Source organism: Homo sapiens, chromosome 1, assembly GCF_000001405.40.
Source record: "Homo sapiens chromosome 1, GRCh38.p14 Primary Assembly".
NCBI classification, from domain to species: Eukaryota; Metazoa; Chordata; class Mammalia; order Primates; family Hominidae; genus Homo; species Homo sapiens.
In genome coordinates this window covers 239,186,172-239,201,556 of record NC_000001.11, presented here as the reverse complement: position 1 = coordinate 239,201,556, position 15,385 = coordinate 239,186,172, and positions in this window count along the sequence as shown.

The window sequence follows — 15,385 nt, the reverse complement described above, 5'->3', positions numbered from 1 at the left end:
ATTAGCTACTTGGGCTTCCTTGTCTGAACATTGCTTTTTCATCCCCATTTCCAAGATTTCCTTCATTAGGCCATAAGGAATGATGATTTGGAGATGTACAAAGCAACCCCTCTTGACCTAACACGTATGGTGCTCACATTCACATGGATCTACAAAATTCTGACAATCATTAAGAAAGACAAATTATTTTCTTGAAAGAAAAAAAAAGCAATATTTTCAATTTATGCCATAATCCAAGTCACTTGTGTAAGAATGTTACATTTTTTTGAGTAAGAGATAGTTAGTAAAAGTCACAGATCCCCAAGAGACGGATTACTTCATTTAGGGAAGCAGTACTGGTCATTGCAGTACATAGAAAAAGTGGAGGGAAAAGATAAAAATGTTTTTACTATAATTAAGAACTCTAGTTTTAGAGCATAGTTTTATATAAAAAATAAATTCCTGATAAGGAAAATGCAATGATATGAATGCAGAGCCAAATTGACATATTTCTATTTATTTATTAGGCAGCTAACTATACATCTTTTGTTAGCTTGTATACAGTATTATGTAGATTACCAAATAACATAATTGTTAAGATACCACCTAGCAACAGCAACAACCATGGTTGTCAATGCAGCTCTCCTCTATGTGGTCACTCAGGAATATAAGCGCCTCCCATCCTATAATTTCTCATCTCCAGGGCTCACAAGTACTCCGCATCTGCAGGTGGGGATTAAGAGGTGAGGAATGCACACTCACGTCCTAACTCTCTTAGCCTAGAAGTCATCCACATCACTTCAACTAATAATTGTGAGTGAGGACTAGTCACATAGAACTACTTGCATGCAAGGGAGGATGAGAAATTTAGTCCCTGGCTAGGAAGTTGTTTTCAGCAATAACTTTTTCATACTTAAAGGATAATCACAAGTTTTTAGAAGCTATTAGGTATTTCTTTAATTTTTTCTTTTCTTTTTTGAGACAGGGTCTCACTCTATCACCCAGGCTGGATTGTAGTGGCACAATCTCAGCTCACTGTAAACTCCACCTCCCGGTTTCAAGCATTTCTCATGCCTCAGCCTCTCGAGTAGCTGGGATTACAGGCACATGTCACCACACCTGGCTAATTTTCGTATTTTTAGTAGAGACAGGGTTTCGCTATGTTGGCCAGGCTGGTCTCCAACTCCTGACCTCAGGTGATCCTCCCACCTCGGCCTCCCAAAGTGCTGGGATTATGGGCATGAGCTGTAGCGGGAAGAGCCACAGACGAAACCCCTCAAACACCAAGTTAAAGAAGGAAGGGGTTTATTTGGCTGGGAGCATCGGCAAGACTCCTGTCTCAAGAGCCGAGCTCCTGGAGTGAGCAATCCTGTCCATTTTAAGGGCTCACAACTCTAAGGGGGTCCACATGAGAGGGTCGTGTTCGATTGAGCAAGCAGTGGGTAAGTGACTGGGGGTTGCATACGCCTGTAATTAGAACAGAGCAGAATAGGACAGGGATCTTCACAGTGCTTTTTTATGCAAATAACCAGTTAGGTCAGGGGTTGATCTTTAACTACCAGGCCCAGGGTGTGGCACCAGGCTGTCTGCTTGTGGATTCCATTTCTGCCTTTTAGTTTTTACTTCTTCTTACTTTGGAGGCAGAAATTGGACATAAGACAATATGAGGGGTGGTCTCCTCCCTTAGAGCCACCATGCCCAGCCACTATTAGGTATTTCTGTGACACAGGAGCATTTGTTTCTTAACAATTTACCTAGTATGAGGAACATTTTTTACAAAGCACTCAGTTAACGTCCTGGTTGTTTAGTTTAATACACATCTCTAGCTTCACCTTCTGCTAGTACTGTTTCTTCAGCCCCATGTGTTAGTTTAGAAGAAAATGTTTCCTACCAAGACTTTTCTCTCACTCACCCTGATGGCACCTAATCAATCATTCTTTAAGTCTCAAGCCACATTGTACTTTGACAATCCTTAACATTATCGTCATTTCTACTTAAATGCCCTTTCATTATGAACCCACATCACTCAAAATATCTGTATATTGCTTCTGCTAAATTGGGTTACAATTTTTCCTCGTGATATCTGACTGCCAAACAGGGATGTAAGCATCGTTTAGCCAGGGAACACGTGCAGCCTCTGCCCCACCACAGCATTTGCTCAGTCCAAGTGTTCCCGTGTGAATAGAGATTTGAATAAATAAATTAATGCATCCAACTTCTCCTCTCTAGTAAATGGGCTCCATGAGAGTAGAGACTATGTTCATTTTGCTCCCAATTTGCCTGTACTTGTAACTGTAACTAGGCAAAATACATCCAATATATATGTGTGGGATAAACAAACATGAATCTTAATAGAGCTGTAGTCCTGGGGGTGGGGGGAGAGGGAGAAAGGGGAAATATCTAAAATTCCTCTAAAAGATAACAATCAAAGTCTCATAAAACAAGTGGTTATCATAAAGAGCAAGAAATATATCCAAAGGGTAGGATCTGAATTGGTGAGCTGGTAATGTAGAATAGGAATTTTCTAAAGTGAAGCTGGTGTGTTCTCTTAATGAATTGGGGGATCCTGTTGTTAACTTCATGAGGAACTATTGAAGCATACTGGGAAAATGAGAAACTAAAAGAATGTCTCCAAATCTTCTTTGAAGGGGACATGGAGCTTGTAAAATAAAGTTCTCCAGTGCTTTAAGATAGAAGTTTACACATTTTTGTAAAAGGCTGAATATCTACAAAACTGATGTAGTCTAGCCAGAAAAGATAAATATATATATATACACACACATATATATGTGTGTGTGTATGTATATATATTGAACTATATATATGTGTGTCTGTATATATGTGTGTGTGTATATATATTAAACTATATATATACATATACATAACTGTATATATATATATGCATATATATGAGTTTAAATTTCAACTTTTATTTTAGATACAAGGGGTATATATGCAGATTTGTTGCATGGGAATATTGCATTCCGCTGAGCTTTGGAGAATGGAGCCTGTCACTCTGGTAGTAAGCATAATACTTGATAGGTAGATTTTTAACCCAACCCCTCCTTTCACCCTCTAGTAGTGCACAGTCTATTGTTTTCATATTTATGTCTATGTGTGCTCAATGCTTAGCTCCCACTTATAAGTGAGAACATGCGGTATTTGGTTTTCTATTCCTGCATTAATTTGTTGAGGATTATGGTCTCCAGATCCATCCATCTTGCTGCAAAGGACATGATTTTAGTCTTTTTTATGGCTGCATAGCATTCCATGGTGTAACATAAATCAACAAGCAAAACACAAATAATTCCATTAAAAATGGGCAAACGACATGAAGTGACACTTCTTAAAAGAAGACGTACAAGTGGCCAACAAGCATATGAAAAAATGCTCAGCATTACTAATCATCAGAGAAATGCAAATCAAAACCACAATGAGATAGCATCTCACACCAGTCAGAATGACTATTATCAAAAAGTCAAAAAACAACAGAGGCTGGCGAGGCTGCAAAGAAAAGGGAATGAATGATCATGTGCTGTTGGTGGGAATGTAAATTAGTCAAGCCAGTGTGGAAAGCAGTTTGGCGATTTCACAAAGGACTTAAAAACAGAACTACCATTCCAGCCAGCAATCCCATTACTGGATATAAACCCCCCACAACAACAACAACAAAAATATCATTTTACCAAAAGGAACATGCACTTATACATTCATTGCTGTGTAACTCACAAAGGCAAAGACATGAAATCAACCCATGTGTCCATCAATGGTAGATTAGATAAAGAAAAGAAAATATTTTTTCTTTCTTTCTTTTTCTCTTTCTTTCTCTTTCTTTCTTTCTTTCTTTCTTTCTTTCTTTCTTTCTTTCTTTCTTTCTAAGTACATCAAACTTGTGTTTTTCCAGGCATTCCACTATGTACTATAATTAAACAGTATGTAAAGAAAACAGTCCTTGATCTCATGGCTAAAAGTTCATTGGCCTCTGCTTAATATCTTCATGGGCTGTATAATAGAGAGTCTTAATTTTTGGAATAAAGAAATAATGCTGATTCTGTGAACACATATTTGTTTTTTATTTCTATGTTTGCAAAGTCTCTTGGTATTCATATGTGCTTTTCTTCATCTCTACCTTATTACTTTATGAATACTACTTTAAAATAAGTTCTGTTTATATAATTGCATTCCATAAAACTTTAAGATAATTATGTTTTTATTAACCTCTAGAATTTCTGCTCAAAATGCAAGTATTGGGCTTTTTCTTTTGAATGAAAGTTGCACTATTTATTCATCCACTATCATGTTGTGTATTAGGCATATCCATAGATAAAAAAGAAAATTTTCTTGCTATCCAAAAGTCCACAGTCTAATAAATGGTCAACATATAAATAAAATAAAAATAAAGTACAAATTATGCCTTGAAAGATGCTAGTGCAGTACTGGATAGGTGCAAAGTATAGTGAGGAAAAATCTATCTACAGCAGGCATCATCAAACTATGACCCTTGAGCAAAATGTTTCCTGCTGTCTGTTTTTATAATAAAGTTTTATTTGAACAGTGCCATAGCCATTCAAACATGTATTATCTATGTATCTGTCCATGCAACAATGTCAGAGTTGAGTAACTGTGACAGTGACCAAGTTTGCAAAAATCATTACTAAAATATTTACTACGTTGACCTTTAGAGAAAAAATTGACTAACTTCAGAAAAGATTTTGTAGTTGAATTAAATCTCGTAAACATGAGTAACAGTTATGGCCAGAGAATAGAGTTTATGAGACACTAAGACTAGGCAAAGAAACATGATCGTTGTCCTAGTTAGGGTATAGGCTCTGATTGCGCTAAAGAAACGAACAAACAAAATCCCAAAACAAAAAAAACAAAACTGAAGTAAAATAGAACATTGTGAAGAACACAGGGGACATGCAAAAGCATCTGATTGTTTTCTTCATGGGTAATAGAGATATCTGAAGAAATTTCAGTAGGTCAAAGGCATGATCACATTTAATCTTGAGAAAGATTACCCTGGCAGCAATATACAGAATATATTGGTAAAATTACCAGATGCAATTCAGACTGTATGTACCTCAACTATTTTCTTGGAGATTCTGATTTAGTTGGTCTGAAGTCAAACCTGACACTTGCATTTTTAGAAAAGCTTTGTAAGTAATTTCTGTTGCACATTTCTGGCTAAAAGTGACGATACCATACCATTTAGAAATCACCAAAATAATTCTGATATGAGATAAAAAGGGTGTAAATAAGGGTGGTATCAGCAGGAGTAGGAAGTGGTGACATGTATGCATATTATCAACAGGATGAACATATGTGACCAGTTATTAGTTATATGTAAGAGGCTACATAAATTAGGGCACGTTTTAGGCTTTAGTTACTAGATGGCTTCTAGTATCACTCATAAAAATAAAATCTCTAGATGAAGGGGTAATTTTAGAGGACAAAAGTATGATACTAAAACTAAATATGTAATGTTTGAGGCATGGTTGGTATGCCAAGTGGAGACTTTCCACTAAGCAATAGAATCTACAGGTTTGGCATTCAAGAAAAGCTTGGAGTTGAATCAGATATTGAAAAGTTATAAGCATAGAGGTTCATCAAATTTCTGGGGACAAATACAATCTCTCATGGAAATCATGTAGACTGTGCCAAGAAAACTCAGGGAGAGAATTATAGGAAACACCCACTACTCAAGGGTAGGAAGAGTTTCTGGAAAGAAATGGGACAGTTTATAGTGGATAATTGTAATTTTGGATATGGGAATTAGCTTACATTAGAAAAGCTCCCCTTTTGAGAACAACTCTAAAACCTGGGTAAAATACAAAAATTGTCCAAAGGCATCAGAGGGCTACCAATGCTTTGAGGACTGAAGGGTACAAGATCCTAAAGAACTGTAAATCCTAGAGTGGTGTTCCTGACATCCAGCAATGCTTTTTCCATTAAGACGTTTTTCAAGCTTGTAAGTGGCTACCAAAATTCCAAGAAGCCAAAAAAGAATGACAAATAAGAGGTTGAGAAACTAAATCGAGATTTCTAAAGTCCAGTGGGAATACGAAGACAAAAATTATGGAAATAAAAACCTACTTTTTGATATCCAATCCAGAATTTTCATCTAAGAATCAACCCACCTAAGTGCTTTATCTTAAGATTAAGCGCAAAGTCGAAAATGAAATAGCCCTCAATCTCACAGAGAATTTAAAATTTTCACTACACTAGTTTCTGCAAAATATTGAGCATTGAATGACTAATTACCAGTCACATGAGAAGACAAGACCCTAAGGACCAAAAATCAAGAGAAAAATTGTGAGATTCAGGTTATGGAATTTTTGGATATGGATTTAAAAATAACTGTAATTACATTTTCAAGAAAATAGATGACAACATGAACAATTTTAGCAATGAATACAATCTATGAAAATCAAATTGAAATTATGGAACTGAGAAATGTGATAACTAAAACTAGCAATACAATAAAGTTAACTAGAAGACTACACATAGTTGAAAAGAAGATTAATGAACTGGAAGATAGCTTAGTAGAAAATATTCGGACTGAAACTCTTGGAGCCTGTCACTTATTTTCCTCCAGAATTTTTCCCATTTACCTTTACCCTTTGTTAATTTTGCATTGCAACCTTTCACTTTAATAAATCATGATCCTGAATATGACTATATGCTGAATCCTAGGATCCTCTTAGCGAATCATTGAGCCTCAGCCTGGTCTTGGGAATCCACAATACAATATCAAAAACAAGGTGGGTTTTCTTTTCCCAGAAATTAAAGATTTCTTTACCATTTCAACAATCAGCCAATGTAGTGCACCACATTAAAAGTAAAATGATACTTGTGTGATCATTCAGATAAATGTAGAAAAAGGTACTTGAACATTTGAGCATTCAGTTATAATTGAGGAAAAAATCCTTACCAAAATACACATAGAAGAGAATGTCCTTCCAATAGAAGATTTCAACATAAAACCTACAGTAAACCTCAAACTAATGTTGAAATATTGAAACTGACTTCCTGAGATAAAAACATGAGACAAGGACCCACTATTAACAATTTTTAGTTCATGCTTAGGACAATAATGCAACAAAGTATACAAATTTGAGACAAATTTGTTCTTATTCATGAATGACATTATTGTGTAGGTAGAAAATTAAAAAACGAACAGATGATCCATGTAAGTATACGTAAGCAAATTTAACTTTAACAATGTCACAGATAGAAGAGTTACATAAAACTCATTATATTTCTAGATTCCAGGAATGAACACCCCAAAACAAAGTTTTAAAAACATGATACCATTTACCATATCATCAACAACGTAAAATAGCTAGCAATAAATCTCAATAAAATGTTCAAAAGCCCTGTGTTCGTTTTCTATGGTTGCATACAAATTACCACAAACTTATTAACTGAAAACAATACAAAAGTATTTGTTTACAGTTCTATGGAAAGCTGGTACATACAGCTAGTTTCTTTACTGATGGTCCTAAGAAGGCCAAAATCAAGATGTCAGTCAGGTGGGATTTTTGTCTGGAAGCACTGGGGAAGCATCCACTTCGATGTTCATTCTTGTTGGCAAAATTCAGTTCATTGTGGTTGCAGGATTGAGATTCCCATTTCATTGCTGGAAAATGGCCAAAGGCTATTTTCAGCTCCTAGGCCATGTATTTATCTTGCCACACAGCACTGCTCAAACTTGAAGCCAGCAATGATATGTTTAATCTTTCTCATGCTTTGAATCTTTGACCCTCTCCTTCTCTGACTGCTAGATCCAGATTTAAAGATCTGATGTCATTAGGTCAGTCTCAGTTGATGATCTCCTTATGTTAATACCAGCTGATTTGGAATCTTAATTGTGTCTACAAAATTCCTTTTGTCATGCAATATGACATGACCACGGAAGTGATATTTTGTCATACATACAGATTCTTCCCACATTCAAGCGATGGAAATCATACAAGGAAAAAAGTCATTAAATTCTGCTTCCCACAGGCATGTATTGGAAAAACCATAAAATGTAATTTCGAGAAATTAAGATTTAAATAATCAGATTAATTGACAATGTTAATGGAATCTATATTACAAATTTGCTGATTCTTTCTAATTGAGCTGTATGTAGGGTTAGTTCAATTGCAATTAAAATGGCATCAGAAAATGAGAGGCATTTGATAATTTAATTATAAATATGAATACATAAAATAGCCAATATAATTTTGAAAAGTAAATTTTGAGAACTTACGCTAACAAAAAACAATAGTCACTACAAAGGTATGCTAATACAATGTTAACAGGCAAACAGACCAATAGAATATAACGGAGAGTTCAACATCAGTTCCAAACACATTTAGACACGTGATTTATGAAAATCATGCACTACAGAAAGGGAAAACTACTGTTTTCATAAAATGATGCCGTGTCAGTTGGGTATCTATATGAAAAAAATAAACACAATTAACTTTGACTCTTATCACACCATAAAAAAATAATTTTATGCGGGTTGTAGTATTGATAAGGATGTGGAATAACATTATTTGTGTAATAAAACTGTTAAACCTTTTTAGAACATTGCTTGGCAGTATGTGTATAATAAAGCTGAACATATGCCTAACCTAAGATTCAGCAATACTACTCTTGAGTAAAATGTGTATATTTGCAGAGTTGGAACATATAAACACGTTCACTGCGGCATCATCAAAATAGCTTCAAACTAAAAATCATCAAGTAGTCCCCCAGCATCAGAAGGGATAAATACATTCTTGTACATCCATAAAACAAAATATTACATCACAATAAAAATGAATAAAAATGTGTGTATAAAACACTATGAATGAATCTCAATATAGAAAGTTAAATGAAGAAAAGCCAGCCATTAATTCTGCATGCTGGGTGGCATTATCTTCCTTTTACTGAAGATGTTGAGCTGAAGAAATGTAATACACTTCCAATGTTTATATTTTCTACTAATAAGCATGGTGCTGTAATGGGAAATTCGATAGCAATAAACAAAGTTAAAGTCGAATCCATCTGTTTTTGTTTCTATTTTTGTCTCCTAAGTGTAAGGTTTTGATTAATCACTGGACTTTCTCCCTAAAGGCAGTGATAATTAAATATTTATATGCATATAATTCTGCACATGTCATATATGATATATATAATTATAAAATATTGAAGTATGCATTCATGGCATTCCCTTAATCCTCCCATGACTGGGTATAAATTTCAACCAAAAAACAATTTCTTTTTAATAATAAAAAATGAAATACTGAATAGTTAACTTTGCTCACAAATGTATTTAAATATATGAAATGATAGTTTTTAGGAATATTAAAGGAGGCAATTACATGCAGAGACATAATATTTGACCTAATGAAAAAAAGATATTTTAATGTTTCAACTCTCATATTTCTTTATATATTTATCACAATCCCCGACAAAATAAGCATAAGATCTTAGACAATTATTATTAATTTGACAAAACACAAAGGTTAGATTATATGAGACTCTCAAATATGATGGCAGAGTAGCAACAACATTTATCAGAATATACTTAAATATATATAACATAATATTTATGTTATATATAATATTTTGATATATATGAAATATATTTAATATGATATAAATTTGTACAATATATTTACCTTAATGTTTATAGTAGCCCCAACACTTATCAGACTATACTTAAATATACATTAAGTATTTAAAATATTCCATTTAAATATTATATATTAGTCTGCATTAAATATTTTAAATATTGTATAATATATAAATATTATAAATATTAATATATATTTCAGTATATTCTAATAAGTGTTGAGGCTGCTGTACTCTCATGCAATAAGATATATTGAAGTATATAAAACTATTCAAATACTTATAAAGATTATAAAGATAAAAGTTCTTGGTTAAAAAAATCAGGTTGATCTGTAAAATATAAGAAAATATGAAAACAACCCAGAATAAGGGCTTTCAATGACTTTGATGGGTGATAAATATAATAAATATAATAAAATAACCAACTGGTCATAAGAATTAAAAGGGAATTATAGATATCTAAAATTTTGGTCTTTACAAATATAAAATGGACACAAATATACTGCTATATCATTTCACAAGGAAAATTATAAAATGTATACATTAATTTGTATCTTCATAAACAAAGAAAATCCTGAATGGATGCTATTGTAGAGAAAAATGTATTTTACTATGTGGTAATACTGAGGAAATTCAAACCAATCCTATGATAGGATGCTGAAAGTGACTTCTAAGAAATATCTAACATTTTTGGAATTGTTTACCTTTCAGTACTCTGATTGTGACCACGACCAGTAGAGATTATAACCAAGTTTATTTTTGATTAAAAAATAAAATCTTTAACATTTTATTCTTAATCAGTTAAGACATACTAGCATTGTGTAATGGGAATTGACCTGGGCTGGAAATCAAGATGTTAACTTATATGTGGTTCTAAATAAGTCCTTTACTAGATCTGACACTTGGTTTCTTAATCTGTAATGAATAAAGATAGATTTATATTTTTTTACTTGTGAAATACTGATAAGATATACTCAAGACTCAGACAACTTACTTTAATTTTAATTACCTGGGGAAATTTGAGCATACTTTGTGGCTTCATGGGACATTCTTAGCCTCGATGGACTTTGGTTTGCTCTCCTGTAAAATGAAGCAGTTATTCTGAATAATGCTTAAGGTTCTTTCCTATTCTAATATTCCACGTCCCTATTTTGCTGCTTCTGATTGGTGATTTGTGATATAATCACTTAAGTAGTTCTTTGATATCTGAGGTTCAAAAAGCGATGAAAGCACAACTAATAAAACATCTTAAAACATTATTATTTCTCAATGTATTTCCTGCCCTTATCCTTTCCTCAAGTTTGTAGCCAAAGGTATTTTCTAGTGAGGCAATTTTATTCCTGTTATATTGTACCAAAGCAGCAAAGAGCCCTTTCCAAAGCATTACCTGGATCTTTCGCTTGCTTCCCCTTTGTCAAAAATTCAGTGATTTAAACCATTTTGAAATATCAGGCATTAAATTAGTAATAAGTGAAATTGTCCAGAGAGGGCAGAGAAGTTTTATTTTTTATTTTATCTACACAGGTTGTTTCTATTATTTATTAACTCCTATATACTGTGTTAAACAAAATTATGGGAGACCATATTGTTTTTGGAAAGATCTCCTGCACTAGGCCCAACAGACCAGACCAAACCTAATGGAGTGACTCACTATACAATCACTATACAATCAAACTGAACACTGTACAATCAAACTGAAATTTTTAGAAGGCAGAGAGATCCCAAAACAGACCAGTTTTTCCTAAAAACAAGATTCCAGTCTACCTGACTCAGCATATTAAGGAAGTCTCCTCTGTTTAAACCTTTCCAAAAAAATAACCCGAAATAAGCCGATGTTAATCAATCAGGTGTTTCTTTGTTTTTTGGTTTTTTTTCAGATAGAGTCTCGCTCTTTTGCTCAGGCTGGGGTGCAGTGGCATGATCTCGGCTCACTGCAACCTCTGCCTCCTTGGTTCAAATGATTCTCATTCCTCAGCCTCCCAAGTAGCTGGGACTATAGGCGCATGCCACCACTCTAGGCTAAGTTTTTGTATTTTTAGTAGAGACAGGGTTTCACCATATTGGCCAGTCTGGTCTCGAACTCCCGAACTCAGGTGTTCCACCTGATCCCAAAGTGCTGGGATTACAGGCATGAGCCACTGCTCCCAGCCTTTTTATTTATTTACTTTTTTTTTTTCCCTGTTCTTCTATTTCCGTGTTTTCACCTCATGAAATCACTGCTCTGCGATTTCCTGGTTAGAGCTCCCATTCTATTTTGTAGAATGGAGACTGCCCCAATTCCTGAATCTCAAACAAAAACCAATTTGACACATAACTAAATTTGCTGTAATTTTCTCTTTGACAACTTTATAGGTTTCTGTTTTGTTGCTTTTGTTGTGGCTGTTTTATCTTATTTCAGTTCCTCTAAGGGTGAGGTATGGAGAAGACTAGCTACCTGGGGCACCTCTCGGTTATTAGACGATAACTTGGTAGGTCTGCAATGTGAGTACATTAAGATAATTTCTTTGGGAACTGTCAATTTTTCAAGAGAAAAATCCTCAAATCTCAGAATTTGGAGGCATATCTCCTTGAGGAAGGAGAAGAGGCAAGAAGTCCCAGAGTTCACAAGGGCATCTTTCACCGAATCCTTTTGTTTTCATCCCTGTGCTAATCTCCCTCTACCAACAGCTGCTGATTTTACTAAGCCCAGAGCATTTATGATTAAATTTCTATAAATGTTAAACACTCGATTTCCAGGTGGAGGCTGGGCTGTAGTGGGCTTACCCACTGGTATTTGTAGGATGTCAGTAACTTTCCAGTGGTCCAACTTTTCTCCACTGACATTCTCTTCATTCTTGAGTAATTGCGCTTTTCCGTTTCTGTATTGTAATTTTAGTGAGATTTTAGTAGGAAAGTAGATGGATATATGTGGTGATTCCTCCACGTTTAACAGTGTTGGCCATGGCAATCTTGATCAAGTTAGCTAACCACTGCGCATCTCTACCTTTATTTTTTTTTACTTTAATGTTATAATTAAGGTGAAATTAAACAAGTTAGAGAAAAATGTGAAAGACTTTGAAATGGACCAAAACTATGTTAACCTAAAATAATAAAAAATGTCAGAATCTAGTTTAAAGAGCATTCATTCTAGTGCAAAGGTGCAGACTGCAGCTTGGGACACACCTCCAAGTTACCTTGAGGAGTGATCTTGAGAACAAAAGAGAAACTCAAGTTTGTGAAGAAAGAACAAATCAGGAGAGGGGGCAGCTACAAAAGTTATTTGCCAAGAATTCTCATTGATTTACAGAAATAGCATTGGTTAGTGATTGACTAGACATAGCTGAACTCTAGGGTGTATGGCATTTGATGGCTACCTGGTGTCAGTTAGTCTGGAGTCCACGTAGCAAGTGGCTTTAAGAGACAATTATTTCACTCAGGAGGGAGTGAGATGTGGCTGCTGTTACTTTTTTTTTCTTTTTTTTTTAAGAGGGAGTTTCCCTCTTGTTGCCCAGGCTGGAGTGCAATGGCACTATCTCGGCTCACTGCAATATCTCGGCTCATGCATCTTCCGCCTCCCAGGTACAAGCGATTCTCCTGTCTCAGCCTCCCAAGCAGCTAGGATTACAGGCGTCCACCACCACACCCAGCTAATTTTTTTTTTGTAATTAGTAGAGATGGGGTCTCACCATGTTAGTCAGGCTCGTCGTGAACTCCTGACCTCAGGTGATCCACCCACCTCGGCCTTCCATAGTGCTGGGATTACAGCAGTGCATCACCGCGCCCGGCCACTGTTACTTTTTAAATGCCTTTCTGGGCCCGATGGTTTAAAGAAGCTTACATTTCTCAGATACAGTCTTTCTTTCTTTCTTTCTTTCTTTCTTTCTTTCTTTCTTTCTTTCTTTCTTTCTTTCTTTCTTTCTTTCTTTCTTTCTCTTTCTTTCTTTCTTTTTCTCTTTCCCTTTCTTTCTTTCTTTCTTTCTTTCTTTTTTTCTTTCTTTCTTGAATATTACTCAATGTTTACAAAAGAAAACTGGGCACTGGTGGAGTGTGTGATTCGATGGCATCTCTTGTCCTTTCCTAGTCTTCGTGCTACTTTAAAACTCTATGAGTTGTTGAATACTGAAAGTAATACAAACGATTCTTGTCCATAAGAATACAGATTTCCTTGGGCAGAAGGCTGATTAGTGTTCTGTGGATATTGACCAGTTTTGCATCTATTAGGAAAATGTAGGCCAGAATTTCTGACTGGCCATATATGTTTCCACTCTTTGGATTCTTTAAACCCTTGTAGCGTAATATTGGTTCCCACATTAATGAGTTAATATTTGACATGTGTCCACTTTAAATTCGTATTATAATCATTATTATACCTTTTCAAGATTGACAATATGAAGTCCTAGACAACATTTTTTAGTTTCTATCTTTCGGTGTTATAAGAGCAAAATTATAGTTTTATATTTCAAATTGAATCAAGGAAACATTATTTAAGAAATAATGACAATAAAATAGCTCACACAAATGAAGGTAGAGGAGGATTAAGACAACATATTGAAGAAGACTTGCCATGTAGACATTCTGTCAATGCTCTAAACTTGAATCCAGATAGGCCTCATTTTAAAATGTAAACTTCACTAGTTACTGACAGAGTGATATTGGAGAGCTGAGCAATATCCTTATATCTGCGTTTTCTCAATTCTAAAATAAATAGAACAATTTTAAAAAAGAAAATACAACTTCAAGACTTCCCACATTTATTATGCCAAGAGGAAAAGTGAAGCCCTAGAAACTGAGCCACATCACATGGCTGTTTTCCTGCTCCGGTGCATGAACTTCCCTCCTGATCTTGATGTAACATTATATGTTAACTAGATGCCTTATTCTTTATTCAAACCTTAATTAAATGACACTGGAGATGGAGACCCCAGAGTGTCATCAATAGTAGACAATCACATCTTCTATCTGCATGTCAGCCTTTGTATGGAAACTATTGTAATTCTGTTCAGCACTTCTGTTTTTGCCTATATAAATGATCCTCATTTTTCCCCACATTAGGAGTACTGATCATCATTCTTTGGTGTAGCTCTGCTCCCCATATGGCCACCCTTACATTTTATGCTTAAATAAACTCTCTTTAAATTAGAAATTATTCCTTTTGATTATTTAAGGTTGACATTTTTTGACCAAAAAGGGACCCAAAGTGAGCCTCCCGAGATCCTTGCTGCTTCACTGACATTCAGAGCTTTGGAACTGGCATGAGTGGCTGTCACTTATCTGACTTTACTGGATCTGGCAGTTATCTCTGGAAGCCTTCTCTTTGGTTTTCAGTCTCCCTGGCTTTGGCTGAGATTCAGACTTTATTCAAGCAACCTGAGTTAAAGCTCTACTTTTAAAGGTAAGAATTTCATCTGTTATTTCTCTAAAAATTCTGCTGTTTACAGGTTTCACTTTCCTTTGAGATTAAGGTTCTGTGTGTCTTACTTGCTAAATTATGAAACATTTTTTTCTGGCTCAAATTTGATCAAAGAAAAAACAGAGAGAAAGAGAATCTTTGTTGCATAAGCTATATTTGTGGTTTTAAACTGGCCAAGTTCTGAAGCTCAGTTCAGTGGACATATCTTAACCAATTTCCCATATAATCTTTGGTCACTTAAGAAGAAAACCCATATTATGGACAATTGTTCATCCAAAACTGAGTCTTTCTCCTTGGGAGTTCACCATAAAAATACCAGATGGGCTTATATATAACACTTATAGTGTCACCTCATGTTGTTATTTTTAAAAATCGTCTCATATAATTTATAAAAAACCCAAATTA